This window comes from Homo sapiens, chromosome 6, assembly GCF_000001405.40.
Source record: "Homo sapiens chromosome 6, GRCh38.p14 Primary Assembly".
NCBI lineage: Eukaryota > Metazoa > Chordata > Mammalia > Primates > Hominidae > Homo > Homo sapiens.
The window spans coordinates 1,924,369-1,947,375 of record NC_000006.12 but is presented as its reverse complement, the minus strand read 5'-3'; the positions used below and the strand labels follow the sequence as shown (position 1 = coordinate 1,947,375).

Sequence of the window (23,007 nt, the reverse complement as noted above, 5' to 3'; positions counted from 1 at the left end):
CTAACAGTTAATTTGTACATAAGAAATAAACCTTGTTTTAAGGAGGATGAAGGTGTTTCTCAGAGGAACACTGATAAATGTTTTTTGAGGAAGACAAAATAGGTTGGTGAGAACCTTAGTACCAGCATATCCCCATTCTGGCTGGCAGACGACTGTGTGGTCCCAAGTTCACAGAGAACATTTAATTGGGAGTGCTGGACATTGAGGAATGTTTCATAAATCTGCAAGCACAGGGAAATATTTCCCTATAGGAAGCAAATATTAAGACAGGGAACTGAAAATATAGGAAAAGAAGTTCATCTACTCTTCTACTCCCAGCACTAAAATGAGCTAATATACCATATGCGAAAAATGATCTATCTACTTCTTTCCAAAAAATGTGCAGAACTCGCTAGACACCATTGAATTCTGCTATATTAATTAAGATTGATGGTTATTAAAATGAAATCGCTTTTCTGAGCCAGATTTGGGGGATGGGGATTGCAATAGTTGAGTGCTCCTTGTGAAACATGCCTAGAGAGCTTCTTGGCACTCCTGCCCAAAGGAGGGCTGCCAGCACATGCCCACTGGTAGCTATTGTGCCCATTCACTTTGAGTCTTGGTGCAGGGGCTGTACCTGACACACGCTCCTCCTTTTCTGCAGCCAAGGGCTGAGCATGCCCTGTGATCACTTCCTGGAAAGCCTTCCGTACCTGCTTGATGTTTTCAGCATATCCCCCTTTCTTTGGCTGAATTCTAAGTGCATCTGATACTGGAATTTTTAAACACAAATTCTTATTGAGAAGTGTAAAGTGCTCTTGAGCTAATATATTAGAATTTTGAAAAGTTTCAACTTACGGGACTGTTAGTGATGTTAGTAATGATAATGATAGCATAGCAGGTAACACTTATTTAGTTCTGACCATGTGCCAGATGCTCTGTCACTCATCTCTTTTAATCCCCATAATAAAACGATGAAGTAGTTGTAGTTATATCCATTTTACAGGTAAGGTGACAGGAGTTTAGAGAAGTGAAATTACTTTCCCATAGTAGTGAAGGATATAGGATTTGGACTCATGTGGTTTGACCCTGGAACTGTGTGACTGTCCATTACCTTGTGCGGCTCCTTTGGTGGCCTGCCCCTTCCATCACATTTCATTGCCCCAGTGAGTATTTTTCCAGTTACATTAGCTGCCTTTCCTGGCCCTCTAGTTTTTCCTCAAGACCATTCTTCCTGTTTGACTTTTTGTTGCTTCTTTCCTTTCCTTATTTTTCATTTTAGGTTTGCTAAATTCTAAATTTAATTAGTGAGAAAAGGAAGTGATGAAGTAAAATATGGAAGCAAATCTTTCACCTGAAATTTTGCCACATGGGTGACATAGAAACTGGGACTAAACTGTTAAGCTGTCTTGTAACTCAGTCTATTAACTTTAAAAAAAACTGTTTCATGGTGTTTAGTTTATAGACACTATCCTGGGAATACCATGTCAGGGATACTGCTGAATGACAGATACCTTCGGTTTTAGAATTATTTGTAGTTTACATGTTTTACATGGTTGTTAAGTCCGCTTTTCTGTGATTCTCTTCACAGTATTTGTTCCTGAGTGATTTGAAGAATGTTGGGGATTTTTGTTGGTGGTGTTTGTTGTTTAGAAAACAGGGTTTCACGATGTTTCCCAAGCTGAAATCTAACTCCTAGGCTTAAGCAATCTTCCTGCCTCAGCCTCCCGAGTGGCTGGATCTACGGGTGCAGGCCATGACCCCAGGCGTGAAGAATATTGGGTTCACAGACATTACTGTCATGCAAATCTATCAAGGGCCTCTGTAACCGTATGTGCATACTCTAAATTTCAAGCCAACCCGACTATAACCAACCACAAGAAAAAAAAGTGTGAAACTTTATCTCCTTGCGTATTATGGTCTGTTGTCAGTATGTGTTAAAAACATCTCATCTAGTACTGACCAAATGCTTTTTTTGCTCATTACCTAATTTCCAGAAAGTGTACCTTGGGCCACACTCCTGTTGCCACACAGGCTCAGTCTCTGCTGCTGCTCTGGTGAGCTTGAGAGGCACGCTATTGCCTCCTGCATGCCCATTCATCTCATTAGGCTTGTGGCTGAGAACCCCACAGTTATAAAGAACCTCAAAAAGTTATAGATATGATTCAAGCAGAGAGGCTAAGTCACTAGTAAGAAAGCCATAATTTCTCTTCCTTGCATTTTTCATTCCTTAGTATTACTTTATATTGTATGTCGACAACTAAGACAGTGTTTTCTGACTGGCACACAATTCTTAGAAGTCATCCTTTATTTCTAATTGTGCTTGTTCTTGGAGTCTGACCCTTCTTGAAAAACTGCTTGAAGTCCAAATCAATAATTAGCAATAGTTATTACAGAGGAGGCAATGTTACTTATTTTCCTTGGGTGAATAAGTATCTTTTGTATGTATTTGTTTTCAGGGTATTGCCTATATTTACTTTTCTGTGACAGAAGAGAATAACAGAAACTGTCATTAGAGCCAACTAAGATTCTTGTGGAAGGAGACATGATTGCATCATTTTATGGACATTTATCTTGTCCCAATTTTCTATCAGATCAAGAATTTGAATCAAAGGTCTTTTGAAGATTTCGTTACTTTGCAGTCTTTATGCTGGGTGGCTATAAGCCAATACTATTTTTGTTAAGTTACTTCGAACGTGAAATTTTTTTTTTTTTTTTTTTTTTTTTGAGACGGAGTCTCGCTCTGTCACCCAGGCTGGAGTGCAGTGGCACGATCTCGGCTCACTGCAAGCTCCGCTTCCTGGGTTCACGCCATTCTCCTGCCTCAGCCTCCCGAGTAGCTGGGACTACAGGCGCCCGCCACCACGCCTGGCTAATATATATATATTTTTTTAGACGCAATCTGGCTCTGTCGCCCAGGCTAGCGTGCAGTGGCGCCATCTCGGCTCACTGCAAGCTCTGCCTCCCAGATTCACGCCATTCTCCTGCCTCAGCCTCCCGAGCAGCTGGGACTACAGGCGCCCGCCACCACGCCTGTCTAATTTTTGTATTTTTAGTAGAGACGGGGTTTCACTGTGTTAGCCAGGATGGTCTCGAACTCCTGATCTCGTGATCCGTCCGCCTCGGCCTCCCAAGGTGCTGGGATTACAGGCATGAGCCCCAACGCCCAGCTGAGTGTGAAATTTTAGGAAGTGGCTCTGCCTTACTTCTTAAATGTCACTACACTTCCGAGTCGAGATGGGAGCTAAAGAGAAATTGTAATCCAAGAGGTTTCAGTATGAGTGTCCTCAAACAGAAGTATGAACATTATCCTTCTGTGAAATAGCTCTATCAATTCTGAAGTAAAGCCCAAACATGATGTGGAACGATGTGGGATAAGTCATTTTTAATGCAAATAAGTCATTTCTGCAAAAAGGAGTTGATTTCAGAAGATGATATACATATCTCTATATTGTTCCAGTGTTTTTCATTCTTACATAGACTGAATATATTGAATTTGATACTCTCTCTGTCACAACAGAAAGTTTTTATCCTTCTCACATCCCTCCTCTATTTGCTACAGCTCTGATTATAGAGGTAAAAGTGTATACAGAGGTCCCTACAAACATGAAGGCAGAGAAGAACCCTAATACGTGTCAGAAGAGAGACAAGCTGCCTAGTGTGACCAGATAATTTCTTTGTTCTGAACTGGCATCTGTGGTATTACCTTTATTCTTATTAGTATGCAAGTCCTTGAAAAATAAATGTATCAGTGGAAGCATTTAATCATTCCTGAGACTCTGGAATTATGGCAGAAGCAATAAGAGAATCAGGTTCATTATGTCCTACATGTGTAAATGTAAAGATACCTTCCTGTTTAAACTGTGGAATAGCCCTGCTCCCCTCCCTCTCCCTGCAGAAAATGTTGATTGAACACCTATCATGTGTTATATACTGTGTTAGACACTGGCGAGACACTAGAGAGACAGAATAGAATGCTTGTCTTTAAGAAGCTCACAGTTGAGGTGAGTAAACTGAAGATTGCAGTGGAGTGTAATGAGAGCAGGTAGCTTGTGCAAGGGTGATGGAGGAGCACAGAAGAGGGACAGCCCCCACCAGGGGAGGAGTCAGGAAACCCTTCCACTGAGATGACACTTGGAGTGCCAGGCAGTTGGGAACTAGCTGTGGATACAGATGTTTCTCAGAGAAGGGGCCGTCCAGAGAAGGAGAAGACACCTGTGCATGCTGGGGGGTCTGCACACAGTAGGATGTCACTGGAGAGAGCTGTGAGGGGGACAGGGCAGGAGGAGATGCTGGGGACGGGGCCGGTGACAGGGCACACAGGAGCTTCCGGCCCATAGGCAGTTTATAGCCATTGAAGAAAGAGGCTTGTGGTTGCATTTGCATTTGGAAGTCATGAGTTTTCAGGACAGGTGCAGAGCAGGAAGAGAGTCAGGGCAAAGAGAGTACCTGGTAGCAGTGACAGCAATCCAGTAAAGAAAATGATAAGGGCCTGGGCCAGATGGAATTATTCGCTGAGTTTGTGCTTGTGCGTCTATCAGGACTCTGGCTTTAGAAATGGCAAAAAGCGAACCTCACGCTAAGCTTAAGTGAAATAATTGAAGATAGCGCTGTATGGGTGTTACCCAAGTATGGGAATGGCAGGAACGTCCGATTTCAGGGACAGCTGGAACCAGTAACTCAGATATCTTCAGGATTCTCCCTTTTTATCTTCTGTCTCCATTTTTCTTTCTGTCTTGGCCTCATCTTTTCAGTCCAGTTTTTTCTATGAAACTAGAACTAGGATCACTGCCCCTTTCAGTCTTGCCACTTGGAGGAAAACTGTTTTCTCTTTCAACTCCATCTGGAATGGCCTGGGGTAGGGCCTTGGTCAGGTTTCCACTCCCTCAACCAGTCCCAGTAGCCAGTGAGTGGTGCTTTGGGCCAGCTTGGGCCAGGATCTTACCTTGAATAAATCAGTGCAGTCAGGATGGCAGGGTTAGGCTACTCCCATTAGAACCATGTGAAGTAGGAAAGAGCACCAAAGCATGCTTTGGGGAATCTGCATTGAGCAGCCACCTCATTTGTGGCCTACTAGAGGCTGGGATGGGGAATTATTTAGGACTGCTGAAGAAACAGACTCAGAAGGACTTGATGAGCAGTTGACTAATGGAAGAGTGAGAAAGGAATCAAAGAGGACTCCCGGGCTACTGGGTGCAGGGTGAGACCATTCACCATGCAGGGCCATCCAGAAAGTTGTGTTAGCTTGGGGTAAAAGGAGAAGCGAACTAGAGTTAATGGTAATGTCTCCTGAGGTGAACAGGAGGAAGATCCGACCAGGAAGTTGCAGGTCATCATGACCAGGCAGCACGAGCTTAGCTCTCGCTGGAGAGCGCAGTCAGCATAGGTGTGCGAAGGTTCTCCCTCCGACTCAGTTCACGGCGTAGGAGCAGAGACAGTGGGAGAGGTGAGCGAGGCGGGGTTGAGTCGTGTAGTCAGGATGGGGTGTGTGTTTAAGATTTGAGCAGGAAGAAAAGTCCTCAGAACATCTGAACTCTGCCTTCCTGCGTTTGTGTTCTCCCTACCTGCTCTCCTGTGCCCTGGAGGAGCTGTCTGTCTGGAGCTCCTGTCTGCTACCACCTCCTTGAAGACTTGGCATCAGCAATTCTCACCTCTCTCCTGGATCAGTTTCTCCGTCATCACTAGGATCTTTCCCTCAGCATGCAAAGAGGCTGCTTTCATGCCCATCTTGAAGTGCAGTCCTCCCAGTCTCACCCCTTTCTCTCACTGACAGCAGAAGTTTTCAGAAGCTGTTTGTGCTCCTTGTCTACGAAATCTCACCCCCATTCTTTCTTGAGCCCTCTCCTTCCTTGGACTTTTGTCCACCTCTTTCAGAAGCTCTCCCATCAAGGTCACGTTTCTGTCTTTGTCCTTCTGACCTGCAGTCATGGTGATCACTCCCTCCTGGATACAGACTATCCAGACTGTTAGGATACTCCCGTGTCCTTGCTTCCCCTCACTGCTTCCTCCTCATCTGGCCTGTAAACATTATAGCATCAGTGTATTTGGTTCTCTGACCATTTATGTTTTGTTGCTAACATTCCTTTCTTGGTGGTCTCAGCTGGCCTCAGGACTTGAAATATCATCCATACATAAATAGTTCCCAAATGTGTGCCCTCAGCCTAGACCCTCGTTGGAAGGCCAGGCTTATAGATTCACTGCAGTGTTAAATGAAGACTCACCCTTGTCTCATCCTGATTTAAATATTTCATGTTTATTAGTTCCCCGATAGTTTTGTTAGTGTATCGAATGAATAGAGGTACTTAAAAGCTATACATTTTTTTTTTTATTTTGGGGATTTTGTCTTTGTGGGGTTGTTTTATTTGACTAAGGCCATGGTTCTCAACCAGGGCAGTTTTGTCCCCCCAGGGGGAAGTTGGCAACACCTGTGAACATAATTGAGGGGGTGCTCCTGGCATCTACTGGGTAAAGGCCAGTGACGCTCCTAAACACTGCAAAGCACAGCACAACCAGCAATAAAAAGGACTTATTCCTCCTTAAATGTCAATAGTACCAAACTGGAGAAAACCTGAAAGGAAGACTTACAAATTTGAATTATCTCACTGTCAGTGGAAAATGCATTGAACATTTGATACAAATAGCAAAGTAGTTTGAACATTTCTCTTTATACACATATTTTAAATAGTTGCCAAAAGGTGGTAGCTATCTCAGACAAATGCACATTGTGAATTGTCCTCTTTTAAGCCTGAGATTCCTTTAAACGTGCCTATTGGATTTTGAGTACCTGCAGTTAAATAGTGTTGCTCTTGGCAGGACTTAGTGAGCAAATGAGGTATGATCTCTCTGATCTCAGTCATCTGCTCAGTCAGCCATGACCTTCTCAGTGTCTCTTCTTTCCACACCCTGTCTCCACTGAGCCATGGCCCAGGCAGTTCACAGTGGGGTGGCCAGAGATTACCACAGGGGAAAAATGCAGGGCCCCAAGGCGGAGGTTCATGTGGGGTTCAGGATAAATTGGAATGATTTCTGTTTTCCAATGAATATTGTCCAAACTGTCATTGTACTTTATCTAACTCCAAAAAAATCTTTAAATCAAAAGCTTTTGGATGAAGTATTGAGCAATGGAATAGAATTTTTATTAGACAAATTTTGGTTACTTCAAGTACCATTTGGATATGGATGGATAATGTTTAGATATGTATGTATGCATGCATGCATGCACATATACAATCGTGTATCTGTAGACACACAAACAATAAAAATTGCCACAGGGCCATAGGAAATATACATTTGAAAAAGAAGTAATTTTGTATAGTGTGATAAGTAGAATTGTCCCTAGTAGGACTTAGTGAACCTCCTGTAGGGTTTCTTCCTTACGTCTACGGCATCATCAGAGGGTGTCAAAAAGAAGTAATTTTGTGTAGTGTGGTAAGTAGAACTGTCCCTAGTAGGACTTAGTGAACCTCCCATAGGGTTTCTTCCTTACGTCTACGGCATCATCAGAGGGCGCCCAAGGTTGCATTTTGTTTTTAAAAATAAATCTCTATTGAAGTAATACATTGTGGAAAAGATTGTGACCTAATATGCAATCAAATTCTTTAATAAATTGGCTATTATTCATGTCTTAAAGGCAATTCCATTGTTTTCAGTTTAATGCTGGCAATTTAAAGTGTGTTTTCCAAATTTTGTCAGTTTTTTTCCTTTAATGTTTGTTATAGAAGATAGAGATGTTATGTTGGTATGCTTTATAATATAATAGAAACTTTAACATGGACTCTGTGTGTGTGTATGTGTATATGTGTGTGTGTGTGTGTATATATATGTATATAGGTATATATATGTATATATATGTATATATGTGTATATATATGTGTGTGTATATATATATGCATGTGTGTATATGTATATCCTTGGGTCTTTAGGGAACACCCAGCCTCTTTAATCAGTAGATAGCAGTCAAGGGGAAGAGCAGAACCTTGTTAACCTGTGCATTCTGGAAGGGGATGAGCATCCCAGGTGTTAGTATCTCCTGGCCCCCAGGAGAAACAAACAGTGACTGTCTCAGGAGGAAGCCGTCATTTGCGTTGATGTCCTCTGGTCTCCAGCAAATTAAGGTTACTAAACATGAACTCTCACTAAATGCACAAGGAAAGAAACCACCATCAGTCAAAGTCAGCATAAATAACAAGTAATAAATAAGTCCCCCCAAAACTTCAGATACTGGAATTATCTAATTCAGAATATAAAATTACAAAAACATGTGTAAATAAAGATGTCAAATCAGAAAAAATAAGCAAGCAAGAACAGAATGTAAAAATGCCCAGGCAGGTTTGAAAAAGAACCAAAGAGAACTTTGGATGTGCCAAAAAAGAAAGAGAGAGAGAGAGAAGAGAAGAGGAGAGGAGAGGAGAGAGGAGGGGAGGGGAGGGGAGGGGAGGGGAGGAAAGAAGGGAGGAAGGAAGGGAAGAAGGAAGGGTTAAATGGCCGACTTAGATTAGATTGCTGAAGGACAATTAGATGGCTATACGGAAATTAACCCAGACTATTACAGATAAGAGCAAAGAGATGAAAATTACCAAAAAAAAGAAATTAAGAGAGTAGAAAGTAAAAGTAGTAGTCTAATATCCTTTCCCAGAAGAAAATAGAGTGAAAAGAGGCAATATCTAAAGAGATAGTTGCTGAGAAATTTCTAGACTTGATTAAAGAGTCACAGATGCAGGAAGCACCATGGACCCCAAGCAGAAAGCCATGCGTAGACACATTGGAGTGAAACCCCAGAATACCAAAGAAAACAGGAATATCTTTACATTAACAGGAGAAAAAAAGACATTACATTACCTACAAAGGAATGACAATTAGACCGGAAACACACTTCTTCCTAGCAGAAACTGCAAACCAGAAGACAGTGGGAAAATACTGTCAGCATGGAAGAGAAGATAATTTTCAACCTTGAACTGTGCACTTAGCAAAACTTCTTTCAAATACGAGCTAGTTAATTTTTCCACATTAAGGGAACTTCTAAAAATGCATTTTAAGAAGGGAATTTATGCCACAAGAAAGATGCAAGAAAGAATGATGACAAAGGAAATTGGTAGACACAGGAATTCACACAGAATTTTCAGTCTGAAATTATAAGAAGATGTATATTCCCCTGAAGAAGGAGACCCAGGGAGCTATTTAAATTAACTGAGGAAAACTTGCAGAGCTGAAACAGAGGGGAAACTTACTTTATCACCTCTAAATTAATCTTCTACAAATGGAGACCCTATTTGGCTATTATGCTCACGAAAGGAATGTAGTTACCCTTAAAATGATGTTTAAGTGAGGAAACAATGCCCCTCTCATGTTTTATCATGTATTTCAAGTATCCCCCTTTTTTTTTCTTTTAAATTAGTAGAGAAGGGGTCTTGCTATGTTGCCCAGGCTGATCTCAAACTCCTCGTCTGAAGTGATCCTCCCACCTCCCAATGTGCTGGGATTATAGGCATGAGCCACCGCACCTAGCCTCAAATATTCTAAACCTTCGTTCTTATAGTGGGTTGGGTGGTAGCCCCCAGAAAGATATGTCCACATCCTAATATCTGAACCTGTTGATGTGACCTTATTTGGAAATGAGGTCTTTGCAGTTATAATTAGTTAAGGATCTTGAGATGAAGGGATCATCCTGGATTACCAAGGTGGGCCCTAAATCTAATGACAAGTGTCCACATAATAAAAAGAAGAGCCAGAGACATAGACACACATTGGAGAAAGCACTATTCATATGGTGTGAATATGGGGGCAGAGATTGGACCACAAGCCAAGGAATGCCATCACATGCTGAGACAGCATCAGGGTTCTCCTGTAGATATTCTCGAAGGAGCATGGCCCTGTTGGATATTAACCTTCAAGCCTCCAGAGCTGTGAGACAGGAAATTTTGGTTGTTCGAAGCCACCCAGTGTGTGGGAGTTTGTTATGGCAGCCCTAGGAACTAATATAGTCCTTAACAGTTAATTTATACTTGTTTTTCAAAAACAGCAAATTAAAATTTAAAAGAAAGTTCAGTGTCTGCTATTAATGTAACAGAATGTTGAAGCTTTTTTCTAGGCGTGCTTTCTTTTCTTGTTTCTGTTCAGGATGGCATCTACCTACAGTCATGCGTCACGGAACCACAGGGATTTGTTCTGAGAAATGCATCATTAGGCAGTGTCATTGTGTGACGGTTGTAGACGTAGAGTGTTCCACAAGCCTGGATGGTATATCTTCCTGCACACCTATCGCTGCTAGGCTACAAACTGGGACAGCAGATTACTGAACACTGTAGGCAGTTGCAACACAATGTGTATTGGTGTATCTAAACATAGAAAAGGTAAAGTAAAAATACCATATAAAGGACAAAAGATATGCCTGTATTGGGCAGCTCTATTGTAATTTTTTTTTTTTTTTTTTTGAGACAGAGTCTCACTCTGTCATTCAGGCTGGATTGCAGTGGGGTGATCTCAGCTCACTGCAACCTCCACCTCCCAGGTTCAAATGATTTTCGTGCCTCAGCCTCCTGAGTAGCTAGGATTATATGCTCGCACCACCACACCTGGCTAATTTTTGTATTTTTAGTAGAGATGAGGTTTTACCACGTTGGCCAGGCTGGTCTCAAACTCCTGACCTCAGTTGATCTGCCCACCTCAGCCTCCCAAAGTGTTGGGATTACAGGCGTGAGCCACTGTGCCTGGCCTCTATTGTAATCTTACGGGACCATTGTCATATAAGCGGTCCATGCTTGACCTAAACGTTGTGGTGTGGCGTGTGGTGCTATATGGGACGTAGATGTGGCTTATTTGACCTAGTGTTGGAAAAGGGGCAGGTGGTGTCTTCAGGTGTTTGTGGTACATTCTGAATGCCTCCTGGTCTCAGCTGATGACTTGCTGGTCTGAGCTATTATTCCCTTGCCTTGTGGCCACAGAGGAGGTGGGATTAGTCCCACTTCTGGCTGTGCCTGGTGTCTGCTGCTGGTAAAATTCACAGGCTTCACTTTCCCTAGGTTCATGGAAGGAGTGAGCTTTACTCTTAAGTAGTCTTAGCCTTCAAGTCTCAATGCACCATTTCAGCGACTGCCTTAGGGTCCATGCAGGCCTGCTGGCCCTCTTGCCACTGCTCACATTGAGCCTTGCTTCACTGCTTCCTGTAGCATGATATTTTATTCTTAGTGTGGATTGTGATCCCATTTTATTGGTAAGAGAACTGAGAAATTAAAACACTTGCTTAAGATAATAGCACTGACAAAAGTAGCAAGCAGAATTATGCATAACTAACATAGTGTGTTAGACACGGTTCTAGTAATCTACCCTGAAAATTTTGTCCTTTGTCACAGATAGATATTAAAGCTGAACCTGTTTCCAGGGCATGAGATGGCCTTCCATTTTCACTTCCAGCCCAGACTCCTCAGTGCCCACCCATGATCTGTGCTCTGGAGATCCCCCTTCACCTGGGGATTTTCTTTCATTTCTTTGAGGCTCAGCTTTGTATTTAACAAAATAGGAATAGTAATATTTTACCCAGCATATACTGGTTTTTAATGTGGCAGTTTTTGTTGTCTACTGCATTGCGTGAACAGAAGTTCTGTTCTCATTCTATCAATGCTGGCAAAACTCATTATCTCAATCCAACGAGTGTTTAGGCTAAAAACCTTATTAGTTGTTCTCGGTCTTATGGATATACTTTTACTTGCATACTCTCTTTCCTAGGTTAATGAGTTAATATTGAAAGCCAAAGTCATTCAAGAAATGTTTATTATTGCTTCCTGTGTAGGCCCACATGCCTGGCTGTTTATTTTGATTTTTCCTCAATCTCAGACTTTCAAAATCAGAGAATTAAGAGATGTAGTCATCTATTAATAAAAGAACTAAGAAATCTTAACTTTCCATTGAGACTTAATTGTAGATACCATTAACATTGTAATGTAATCATTATAATAATGTCTAACAGTTACTGAGTACTTACTGATAACCAGAAAACCTAGATTTTCTCCTTTAAACATCAAAGCTTTTAGGTACTATTACTATCCTTATTTTACAAACAAGGACATAGTGATGTTCTTACATTTCTGTAAGAAATGCCATTTAACCTACATTAGTGTACCCAGTGATTTGGCATGGCAAATGTTAATATGCAAGTAGTACACAGAGGAGACTATGACTTCAGAGTGGTTAAATGGTTTGTGTAAGATATCACAGCTGGTTACTAACAGAGCTGGCTTTCCCTCCATTCATTGAGCTAACTTTTCTTAGTCCTCTTTCTAACGAGAATCTTATAGTTTAAGGCTTTATAAATCAAGTATGTATTTAAGTTAATTATAGGGGTTCCATTATCCACATGTGCTATAATAATTCACAAACACTTAGGTCATCTCATCGCAGAAGAGATTCCTCCTGCATTGCACTGTGGCTTAGCAAAACAGCACAAGGCTAGAAAGCCAGTGAGACAGGCCTGGGTCCGGCTCGGCTACTTGTCCTGACTCAGGACAGGTGTGCAGCCTCTGTGCGTTTCTCTTTCTTCACCTCTCACTTGGGATAGTCTCAGCCCTCATGTTCTATGCTTTTATATAGTTTCTTCCTTAAAAGAGCATTCTTCTGTAACATGGAGTAAAAATGAGGAGAGCAAATTTAAAAAAAAAATCATTTTAAGCCTTTCTTGAGAATTAAGTAGTAAAACATGTGGTTACAAAAATGTTTAAAATTAATCCAAAACTTTTTCTTGAAATCAAGAAAACAATTGTATTTATAATAAAATAAAAAAGAATAAAGTGTTTAGGAACAAATTTAGCAGAAGTGTAAAAATTATTCTCTGAAAACTATTAAACATTGTTGAAAGAAATTTTAAAAGACCAAAATAAAGGAGAAAGACATCCTATATTCATGTATCGGAAGGCACAATAATGTTAGCATGGGCATAGCCTCCATTTTGATCTACAGATTCAACATGATCCCTTTCAGAATCCCTGTTGGTGTTTTTGCAGAAATCAACAAGCTGATCCTAAAGTTCATATGGAAATTCAAGGGACAGAGAATAGCTAAAATAACCTTAAAAAAGAACAAAGTTGGAGAACTCATACTTCCTAATTTTTAAACTTGCCACAGAGCTACAGTAACCAGGACTGTGTGGTACTGTCATAAGGATAGACATAGAGTAAGTACATCAATGAAATCGAATTGAAAGTCAGAAATTGTCTCCCACATTTTTCATTAATTAATTGATTTTTGAGGAAAATGCTATTGAATGGGAAAAATAACCTTTCTAACAAATAATACTGAGACAGCTGGATGTCAACATGCAAATGAATGAAGTTAGACCCTTTCATCACACCATATATAAAAATTTACTAAAAATTGATCAAAAATTCAAATGTAAGAAGAAAAACTATAAAACTCATAAAAATATATAGGAATAAATCTTCATGACCTTGGATTAACGAAGCCTTCTCGAATATGACACCAAAAGCATCTGCCACACAAGCGAATGTAGACAAATTGGACTTCATCAAAATTAAAAGATAAAAAAGCTTTTATGCTTCAGAGAGCACAACCAAGAAAGTGAAAAGTCAGCCTACAGAATGAGAGAAAATCTTTGCAAATTATATAGCTGATAAGGGACTTGGATCCAGAATGTATAAAGAATTCTTACAACTCTATAATAAAAAGATAAGTAATCCGATTTAAAAATGGACAAAGGATCTGAATAGACATGTCTCCAAAATTGATATACAAGTGGCCAGTAGGCACATGAAAAGGTAGTTGCTTCATATGATTAGTTATTGAGAAGGACACATCGGAACCACAATAAGATACCACTCGGTGCCAACTAGCATGACTACAGTTTAACAGACCATAACAAGTACTGGGGAGAATGGGAAGAAATCAGAGCCCTGTTACCCTGCTGGTGGGAATGTAAAGTGGTGCAGCCACATTGGAAAAGTCTACAGTTCCTCAATTGGTAAAACAGAGTTCTCATATGACCCAGCAATTCCACCCCTAGGTATATACCTAAAAGAAATTAAAGCATACGTTCACAAAAAGGCATGAACGCTCATGGTAGCATTATTCACAAAAGGCAAAGGATGGAGGCACCACAGATAGTCATCTCGTGGACGGTTAAATAAAATTTGGTATATACATATAATAGAATATTATTTGGCCATAAAAAAGGAACAATGTACTGATTCAAGCTACAGTATGGATGAACCTTGAAAATGTTATGCTAACTAAAAGAAACCAGAAACAAAGACCAGACATTAATATAATTCCATTTATAGGAAGTGTCCAGAATAGGCAAATCTAGAGATAAAAGGTAGATTATCTGTATGCCAGGGCTAGGGTACTAGGAGAAAACTGGTGAGTGACTGCTAAATGATACAGGGTTTCTTTTTGGGATGATGAAAGTGTTCTGAAATTGATTGTGATGATGGTTGTACATTTCTATGAATATAAGAAAAGCCATTGAAGCATATGCTTTAAATGAATGAATTGTATGCTATGTGAATTATATCTCAAAATAGCTGTTCTAAATAATAGTTAAAATTACATTTTGAGCGGGCGCGGTGGCTCATGCCTGTAATCCCAGTGCTTTCGGAGGCCAAGGCAGGTGGATCACGAGGTCAGGAGATCGAGACCATCCTGACTAACACGGTGAAACCCCGTCTCTACTAAAAAATACAAAAAATTAGCTGGGCGTGGTGACGGGCACCTGTAGTCCCAGCTTTTCGGGAGGCTGAGGCAGGAGAATGGCGTGAACCCGGGAGGCGGAGCTTGCAGTGAGCCGAGATCGCGCCACTGCACTCCAGCCTGGGTGACAGAGTGAGACTCCATCTCAAAAAAAAAAAAAAAAAAGAATTAGAAATTATAGTTAATTTTGGCTAGTTATCCAAGATAACTTTAGGAACCAGATAAGAAAAGATCCACCTTTCTAGCACGACATGAAAGTTCTGGTAATATAAGAACTTGGTAGTCATATAGCTCTCGATTTGAATGCTGTTTTAGAATAGTTAATTTATATAGCTTCCCTGAATCTCAGCTTCTTCATGTACAAAATGGGGGTAATATTAGCACATGGGTTGCTCGGAAAATTAAATGAGTTACCCCATCTAAAGAGCTCAGCACAGTGCTATCAGCGATAGCCCTCATTGGAGGTGCCATAACCATCATAAGGTTGTGGTAAGAGTTGGAAGAGAAAGGCCCTTCCTCATCTTTGCAAGTGCCGTTCCTCCTGCCTGGAGTACCACCCTGTCTCACAGCTTGATGAGTCCCTTCATGACCTCACTGGTAGACTCCATTCAAGCTCCATTTCTGGTAGGCATTTCTCACGTGCGTTGCGCCTGGCAGCCATGCTACAACCCCAAAGGCTTTCCCCCCTTGCAGACCTGGCATTTTACTAGGTTCAGCACTGGTTTATTGGCCCACCTGACCCTCTCTGTGATACCTGAGAGCAGGGGCTGCTGCTTCTCTCCCAGATCCCCAGTGCCTAGCTCAGTGCTTAGTGATTGGTGGGTGCGTAGTCAACACTGGGTAAAAGAATCAATAAATTGTATGAATAGGGTCAAATACTTCCATTGGACTCCCAAACATTACTTTACTGGTAAACAGGTTAATCTGAAATGTTTTATGTTGGAATCTTCATTTAATAGTTTGCCATCATTGGTTTCTTAGTATACTTTGAGAAAATAGTATAGTCCTGACATTGAAATAATGATAAACATCAAAAAACCTAAATTTAATTCTTACAAGTCAATAGAAAAATTTTTAAAATTACTAATTAGCCACTAATTACTTACTGGCTAATAAGTAGTTTTTCATTTCGAAAGGCACTTTTTTTTGAAGGACCTCTATGTGCTATATAAACCTCTGTGGAAAGTTGAAACTTTGTATTTCTTAACATACCATCTGAATTGACAAGGGGAATTGAAAATTTGGATTTCCACGGTAGTCCCATTGTATTTCTTAATGATAATGGTGTAGGTATAAATGTACGTATCAAGTTTGTGGAGTAAGTGAATCTGGTGTATGTTTGAACTTGCGCTAAGCCACGTTCTTGCCAAAATTTGGAAAACCTATTTAGAAATATTCCCCTTATCCCTGTGCCAGCTCTCCAGAAGCCAAACACTTTGATCATAATATTTGCCTCCCTGCTTCATCTGCAAAAGAACATAGTTAAAGTCATTGGTATGTGATAAATCATGATATTCACATATCTAAACTGTATGAATCCATTATTAACTAGCTAATATGAGTATTATTACCTTGAGAATTTGGTATTAAATGGTGTTTTCTCATAACCTTACCTAGATAACAAGGTAAAACTGTCTCAGAAGTGCCTTTTAACTTTGTGATCTTTGAAAAAGCAGATAGAGTTTTCATTAAAGACCAGAGAACATTAAAACAATTTCAGTGCTTTCATCAAGATATGGCCCCTTTCAACCAATCATTTCAAAATATTACACAAAATTTAGGAGCCCTTTCTGTAAATAACACTGAAATGAATTTGGAAAGTGGCATTGCCTTAAGTATAGTACAGAGAAACTTTTGCCCAGGGGCCATATCATATCATTTGGATGGCTGTGCAGGTTTCTAAATAAGAGCCATCACCACTTATTTTGTTAAGAGAAAGGCAGCCTAAATAAATTCCTTTCTTGTTTCCTTTAACTAGTTACCCTGTGAACTAAGCTATGTTTCTTTCTCTCCCCATGAGTCCCAAAGTAGCTTTATTAATAGGAATATATGATGTTTGTGTTCTTAAAAAAAATCAGGGTGGTCTTAGATGTCTGTCGTCCATTCTGGCATTTCCCTTTATACAACCCTTTTGAATTTTCTGTTTAAAAACTGGCATTCCAACAGCTTTTCTTTGGCCTAATGCCTGGGTTGCATATTGAAGCAACAAATTAGGAATGTTAAGATGTCCCCCAAAGAAAAACGTTTGTTCTGAAAGTAGAGCTGATGTGACACATGGAATTAGGGCTTCTTAACTTGTCTAAATGACAGTTAATGATCTTTTCTCTTTTTCTTTTCTTTTATTGTTTTAACAGGGTGGCTGGGAGTGTAGAATGAAAGAAATGCCCAGAGGCCGAAATCGGGTTTGGTTCACCAAACTGTTAAATGTGTCAAGTGCACTTGACTGATACTACATCTTTTGCCTCTTTTTAGGAGCTAATTTCGTTACTCGAAAAATTAGCCGGTCAGTAGCTAAGATTTACCTTGGACAACTGGAATGTTTCAGTTTGGGAAATCTGGATGCCAAACGAGATTGGGGCCATGCCAAGGACTATGTGGAGGTAGGAACTGACACATTACATTCTTGAAAATACCCGTATCCATTGATATTCTAAATGCCAAGCGTACAGTGAAAAAGTGTGACCTAGAGGTGGGGGCATACAAACCTTTGCCAAGGCAGGTATGTTTACACTCATGCTGCTTTCACTTCAGGGATCAGTCGTTCAGGGATTGGTGGTTCAGACGTACAGGTAGCTTACACTGAATGGTACTTGAATGAGGAAAACTTTCACAAATACTCTTCCAATTATTTGTGCTGGATGATGGATAGATAGATGGAAAAAGTGTTTGAATGGTGCTCCTCTTTATTTTGGGGGTATAAAAGTACTAGTTCTCAGATCTTCTAGAAATACTGCCTCATTTCAATGTATATAATTCAAGATTCTTGGACTTACATTATTCTACTAAGTCCCGCCAAGAGTAATATTCTTATGGAACTCTGCTTTCTGCTGCTGAAGAGTCTGGTTATTACATCACACACTTCTTAACATGTTATATTGCATGTCGTTGAGCTTTACCTATTAAAGAGAGATAGAGAAAGATGTTAATAATGATTCTATTGTGAAATAATGGATATTGTTAAAGGGAAATTCAGATTTTCATTCTTGGCATTCCTAGACATGCTGTTTTGGGTTTGCATATATTACATACGCAAGTAGTATGATTTTTCTTTTATAAACAAATGGTTACCTTTTACTTTGCCCTGATCTCCCTGCTTTTAAATATCCATGTTGGTTCTGTGGTCAGACATGAGCAAGCATGGTAGAGACATTGTCCTTTCCCTGGAGTAGCCTGTCCTTGTTCAAGTGCTCACAGATTTCCTGTGCTCATGAGCCTATTTCTGTCCTGAATGATGTCTCTCTAGGAAACTGGACCCAGCTTTCTTGTTCATTTATGCAATTCAAAAAGAAACTTTAATGCCTACAAAAGAAAGCAAACAATTAGTTTGTTTGCTAGTGCAGAGATGAGGCTCACCTGCCATCTTGTTTTTGGTCATAACAATAAAAAATGTGTGTGTGTTTGAACAGCTAATACTGATTTCTGTTATGCACAAAATAATTAGCTTTGACTTTAGATTTTGAATAGTGCAACATTTAGATCTATTTATTTATTTATTTATTTATTTATTTATTTTTGAGACAGAGTCTCTCTCTGTTGCTCAGGCTAGAGTGCAGTGGCATGATTTCGCCTCACTACAACCTCGGCCTCCCAGGTTCAAGCGATTCTCCTGCCTCAGCCTCCTGCGTAGGTGGGACTATAGGCATGCGCCACCACACCCGACTAATTTTTGTTTTTTTAGCAGAGATGGGGTTTCACCATTTTGACCAGGCGGGTCTCAAACTCCTGACCTCAGGTGATCCACCCGCCTTAGCCTCCCAAAGTGCTGGGATTACAGGGATGAGCCACCGTGCCCAGCCTAAATCTTTTAAATATGTGCTTCTAAGCTATAATTACAAAGAAGCATTTTATGACATTAATCCTTAGATTTATTTTCAGAACATCACATCAAAAAATATATAGGTTCACGCTTAGAAATTATGAGAAAGTAGATACTGGCAAGAGAAGCCAAAACTTTCTTTTGTCTAACCTAAATGACCTTACCTACTGAAAAATATGAGGCTTGTTATGTAAAAATACATTATTTTCTCAATAATATCTATTTATTGTTTAGCCTTCTAGCCATCAGCATCTGCATAGAGCTACATAGTAAGCTATAGGTATTCTTTTTTTTTTTTTTCTTAAGGCAGAGTCTCGCTCTGTTGCCAGTCTGGAATGCAGTGGCACAATCTTGGCTCACTGCAACCTCTGCCTCCCGGGTTCAAGCGATTCTCCTGCCTCAGACTCATGAGTAGCTGGGACTACAGGCGCGTACCACGACGCCCAGCTAATTTTTATATTTTTAGTAGAGACGGGGTTTCACTGTGTTGACCAGGATGGTCTCCATCTGTTGACCTCATGATCCACCCACCTTGGCCTCCCAAAGTGCCGGGATTACAGGCTTGAGCCACTGCACCTGGCCCTATATAGGTATTATTTATCCAAACTCTTCTCCAAGTTCAAGGAACCAAATCGATTAAATTTCATTCAATTTTATTATTTTGCACGTAGGTGAAAAAGGATTCGGAAATCTAATAGATTTTGATAGTGAGGGAAACAGTATACCATAATGTTGATAGTGCTTTTTACAGGTTGTGTTTATTTTCTTCTTTATACTGTCTTTATTTTCCATAGATTTTAAATGAACATGTGTAAACCTTTGTAATTGGCCGGGGTAGGAGGTGACATTTCAGAAACAGGCCAAAAAGTCTCATGAAAATGAATGAGAGTGTTAAGTAAGTAAGGAGGAAGTCTTGTGTCAACGAGTAGATCTGAAAGAAGGACGCTGCTGTCATCTCACTTCCCAAATGCCAAGCTAGCTCCACTGTGAGTGTAGTCCACATCTGGGCACAACACTTCCCAAATGCCAAGCTAGCGCTGCTGCGAGTGTAGTCCACATCTGGGCACAACAGGCCCACGTTTGAATTAGCATAAAATAAAAATATTTTATATACATTTTGGCTCCAGTAGGGGTTGGTGCAAAAAGGTCGTGTTCAGTGAAGTCATTTATGATTGTTTGACAAGGCGGTGTCATTACAGCCTTTCACAAGCCAGCATGTGCACACAGCACGCTACCCTCTGAGTAAAAACACAGCAACACGCTACCCTCTGAATAAAAATACACCAACACGCTACCCTCTGAATAAAAATACACCAACACGCTACCCTCCGAATAAAAATACACCAACACGCTACCCTCTGAATAAAAATACACCAACACGCTACCCTCCGAATAAAAATACACCAACACGCTACCCTCTGAATAAAAATACACCAACACGCTACCCTCTGAATAAAAATACATCAACACGCTACCCTCTGAATAAAAATACACCAACACGCTACCCTCTGAATAAAAATACATCAACACGCTACCCTCTGAATAAAAATACACCAACACGCTACCCTCTGAATAAAAATACACCAACACGCTACCCTCTGAATAAAAATACATCAACACGCTACCCTCTGAATAAAAATACATCAACACGCTACCCTCTGAATAAAAATACATCAACACGCTACCCTCTGAATAAAAATTTGAAATGGTCAGATTCCATGGAGAGACAGATAGAAAGTTAGGTCATTCTCCTTGCCATCCAAGCCTTGATTTGTTCTATAATACAAGTGGGTCTTGTGTATTAAGGACTCTCCTGGGTTTCTAATATGTTGATGATGTAGGAAGCATTTTATAGTTCTCATTTATGTGTTCTGAACAAAGTCTAAATTACGTTTATTCAGTAAGAATTTATAGCTTGGTACCCTCCGTTTTAAGAAATATGATCATTCCTTGCAATTTTAAGTGTATTAACATAAGATTACTTCAGAGATTTATGACTAAAGGTAAATTTGTTGCCAAAATTAAAGTCAGCAATCATAAAAATGAAAAAGGAGAGGTATTGTTTGTTTAAAACACACATGCACCCTGACACTGAAATCAACTTTAGAATAAAGAAGTGTTTGCAAATGTAGGTCAAACAAGTCATAATACCATCTCATTTACACACACGTTTTAATTATACAGCTGAAATGGGAAAGGTTCCCTTATCCCCCTCGCAGAGCGTGTGATGGTGGTATGGGTTGCTTCCTCAGTGCCCCACTGCTCAGACCTCTTGGAGGAGCATGCAGATGGGCAGGTTGTGGGGCTCAACCCCACAGCAGTATCTAGGGGTGAATGTTTACAGCTGAAGCCTCTGTGCGCATGTGTTACAGGGTGCTCTTTCAGTTTAGCCATCCATAGGTGGCTTGTGTTAGCTCAGTTAGACCCCTTTCCTTATCTCCAGGACAGAGGGCTTTCTGTATCCTGAGGTTCTTGCTTTGGTATACTGGAAGAATCAGATCACACGTGGGCTTGGAGAATGAGTGCAAGGTTTTATTGAGTGGAAGTAGCTCTCAGCAGATGGGGGAACCAGAAGAGAGATGGTGTGGGAAGGTGGTTTTCCCCTGGAGTCGGGTCTCTCAGTGGCTGGAGCTCTCCTCTCTCCGCCCCAGCCAAACTCGGCATAGTTCCACCCGTCTGTGGCCTGCCGGTGTGCTGGTGCCTGTTGGTATGCTCTCGACATTCTCTCAATATCCAGCTGCTGGTGTGTTCCTCTTGATGTTCAGCTGCTTGTGTCTTGGGGTTTTTATAGGCACAGCATGGGGGTGTGGTGGGCCAGGGTGGTCTTGGGAAATGCAGCATTTGGGCGTGAAGGCAGGAGTGCCTGTCCTCACCTAGTCCGTGGGCATAGGCCTGGGGGTGGAGCCCTCACCAGGGACCTGCCCTTCTCCTCCCGGCACTTCCCTGCCCCTCTTCCGTATCACAACCTCTCTCTTTTATATGCAAAAATTTTAGTAAACCTTCAGATGAAGTGACTGACACTTTTTTACTTGTCAGTGAATTTCCATCATGAAGAGCAGAGAGCATTTTCTCCTCGTGTTGTGAGGTGGGTGCTGGTTATCCCTGCTGTGCAAGTACATTGTTTCTCAGCTTAGACAAGCTGTTTTATCTTGATTTTTCCATCTGTGTAAAGGACAGAATATAAACCCTGTAAAAAATTAGCATCAGTGTGCTATACATACATACATGAATAAAGTTTACCTCTGACTTGTAAAAATTTTCACAATGATTTATAAAAAGTCCTTACTTGTTGCTGATTCCAATTTATTTTCATCCATCTGTAGTCTTGCTTCCTAGATCAAGATGTTTTCAAAGTTATTTAAATGAGTGAGAAGTATTTCAACTTGAAGAAAAAAATATATACAGCTATATTAAATTATATTGTACTTCTGAATAAAGTCATAGGCAGTTAGATCTCTTCCAGTATTTTATTATAAAACTTTTTAAACATACAGAATAACTGAATAAATTTTACCTCAAACACCTGCGTACCACCCAGATTCTGTAATTAATGTCTACAATTACTGTTGCATTTTGAACAAAAATTAGTATTTAAGTAATTACTGTAGTGCTAATGGCTTACAGCTACAAATATTCAATTTGCACAAACACAAGCTACTAAAAATTTGCATTTTATGGGGTATAGATAGCAGTTCAAACTTTTTTTTTTTTGAGACGGAGTCTCGCCGTCGCCCGGGCTGGAGTGCAGTGGTGCGATTTCGGCCAGTTCAAACTTTTAAAATATTTTTATCTTAAGTATTTACCTGACCCCTCTACAACCTGCTTTTATGCCCACCTCTCTCCATATAGGCTCAAGCAGCTTCACGAGAACACTCTAGTGGCAATGCGCCATTTTCAACCAATGTCCAGCAGTCAGGATTATAGCAGTGGTGGCAGAAAACACTAAGGGAGAGAACCTCTGACTTCTCAGGGTGGCACTGTTCATTCAACATGTATTCTATTGAGTTCCTGCCATGGTCACAGTTCTGGTTGCTACAAATGGCAGTATATGGTCCCAATGAGATCCCACTTTGATATAAATATGTGAAACACAACTATAGCCAGAACATATTGACTGATAAGCTAAATGGTAGGAGCTGGGCCAGAGTATCTTCAGGCTTTTACCACCCACAAAAAAGGCCCCTTGCTCTTGGGAGACAGGGTTAATCAAGAGACCTAAGTCCAGCCTCTTTCCAGGACTCAGTAAAAGCCATGTATAAAGTGGCAAGAGGTTTTCCTGCTACAGCTAATCCCACAGA

General features: G+C 40.5%; 1 protein-coding gene across 8 annotated transcripts in view, besides 1 other annotated feature; it reads left to right on the top strand.

Annotated features, from left to right (window-relative positions):
• Positions 1–23,007, top strand: part of GMDS (GDP-mannose 4,6-dehydratase) — a 621,800-nt gene that overhangs the window by 298,230 nt on the left and 300,563 nt on the right. For 7 of the 8 annotated variants that reach the window (NM_001500.4, XM_011514500.2, NM_001253846.2 and 4 more), the window contains one exon: positions 17,146–17,273. The exons of the other annotated variant lie outside the window; for it this stretch is intronic. In NM_001500.4, coding sequence (NP_001491.1) covers positions 17,146–17,273 — 128 coding nt within the window. The remainder of the gene's footprint in view (positions 1–17,145; positions 17,274–23,007) is intronic. 8 annotated transcript variants of the gene reach the window in all.
• Positions 6,739–6,808: a silencer, noted in NCBI's record as "silent region_16825". NCBI's record gives its function as "represses an Ori minimal core promoter by ATAC-STARR-seq in GM12878 lymphoblastoid cells {active_cell/tissue: GM12878}" and the evidence as "EXISTENCE:reporter gene assay evidence [ECO:0000049][PMID:35858748]".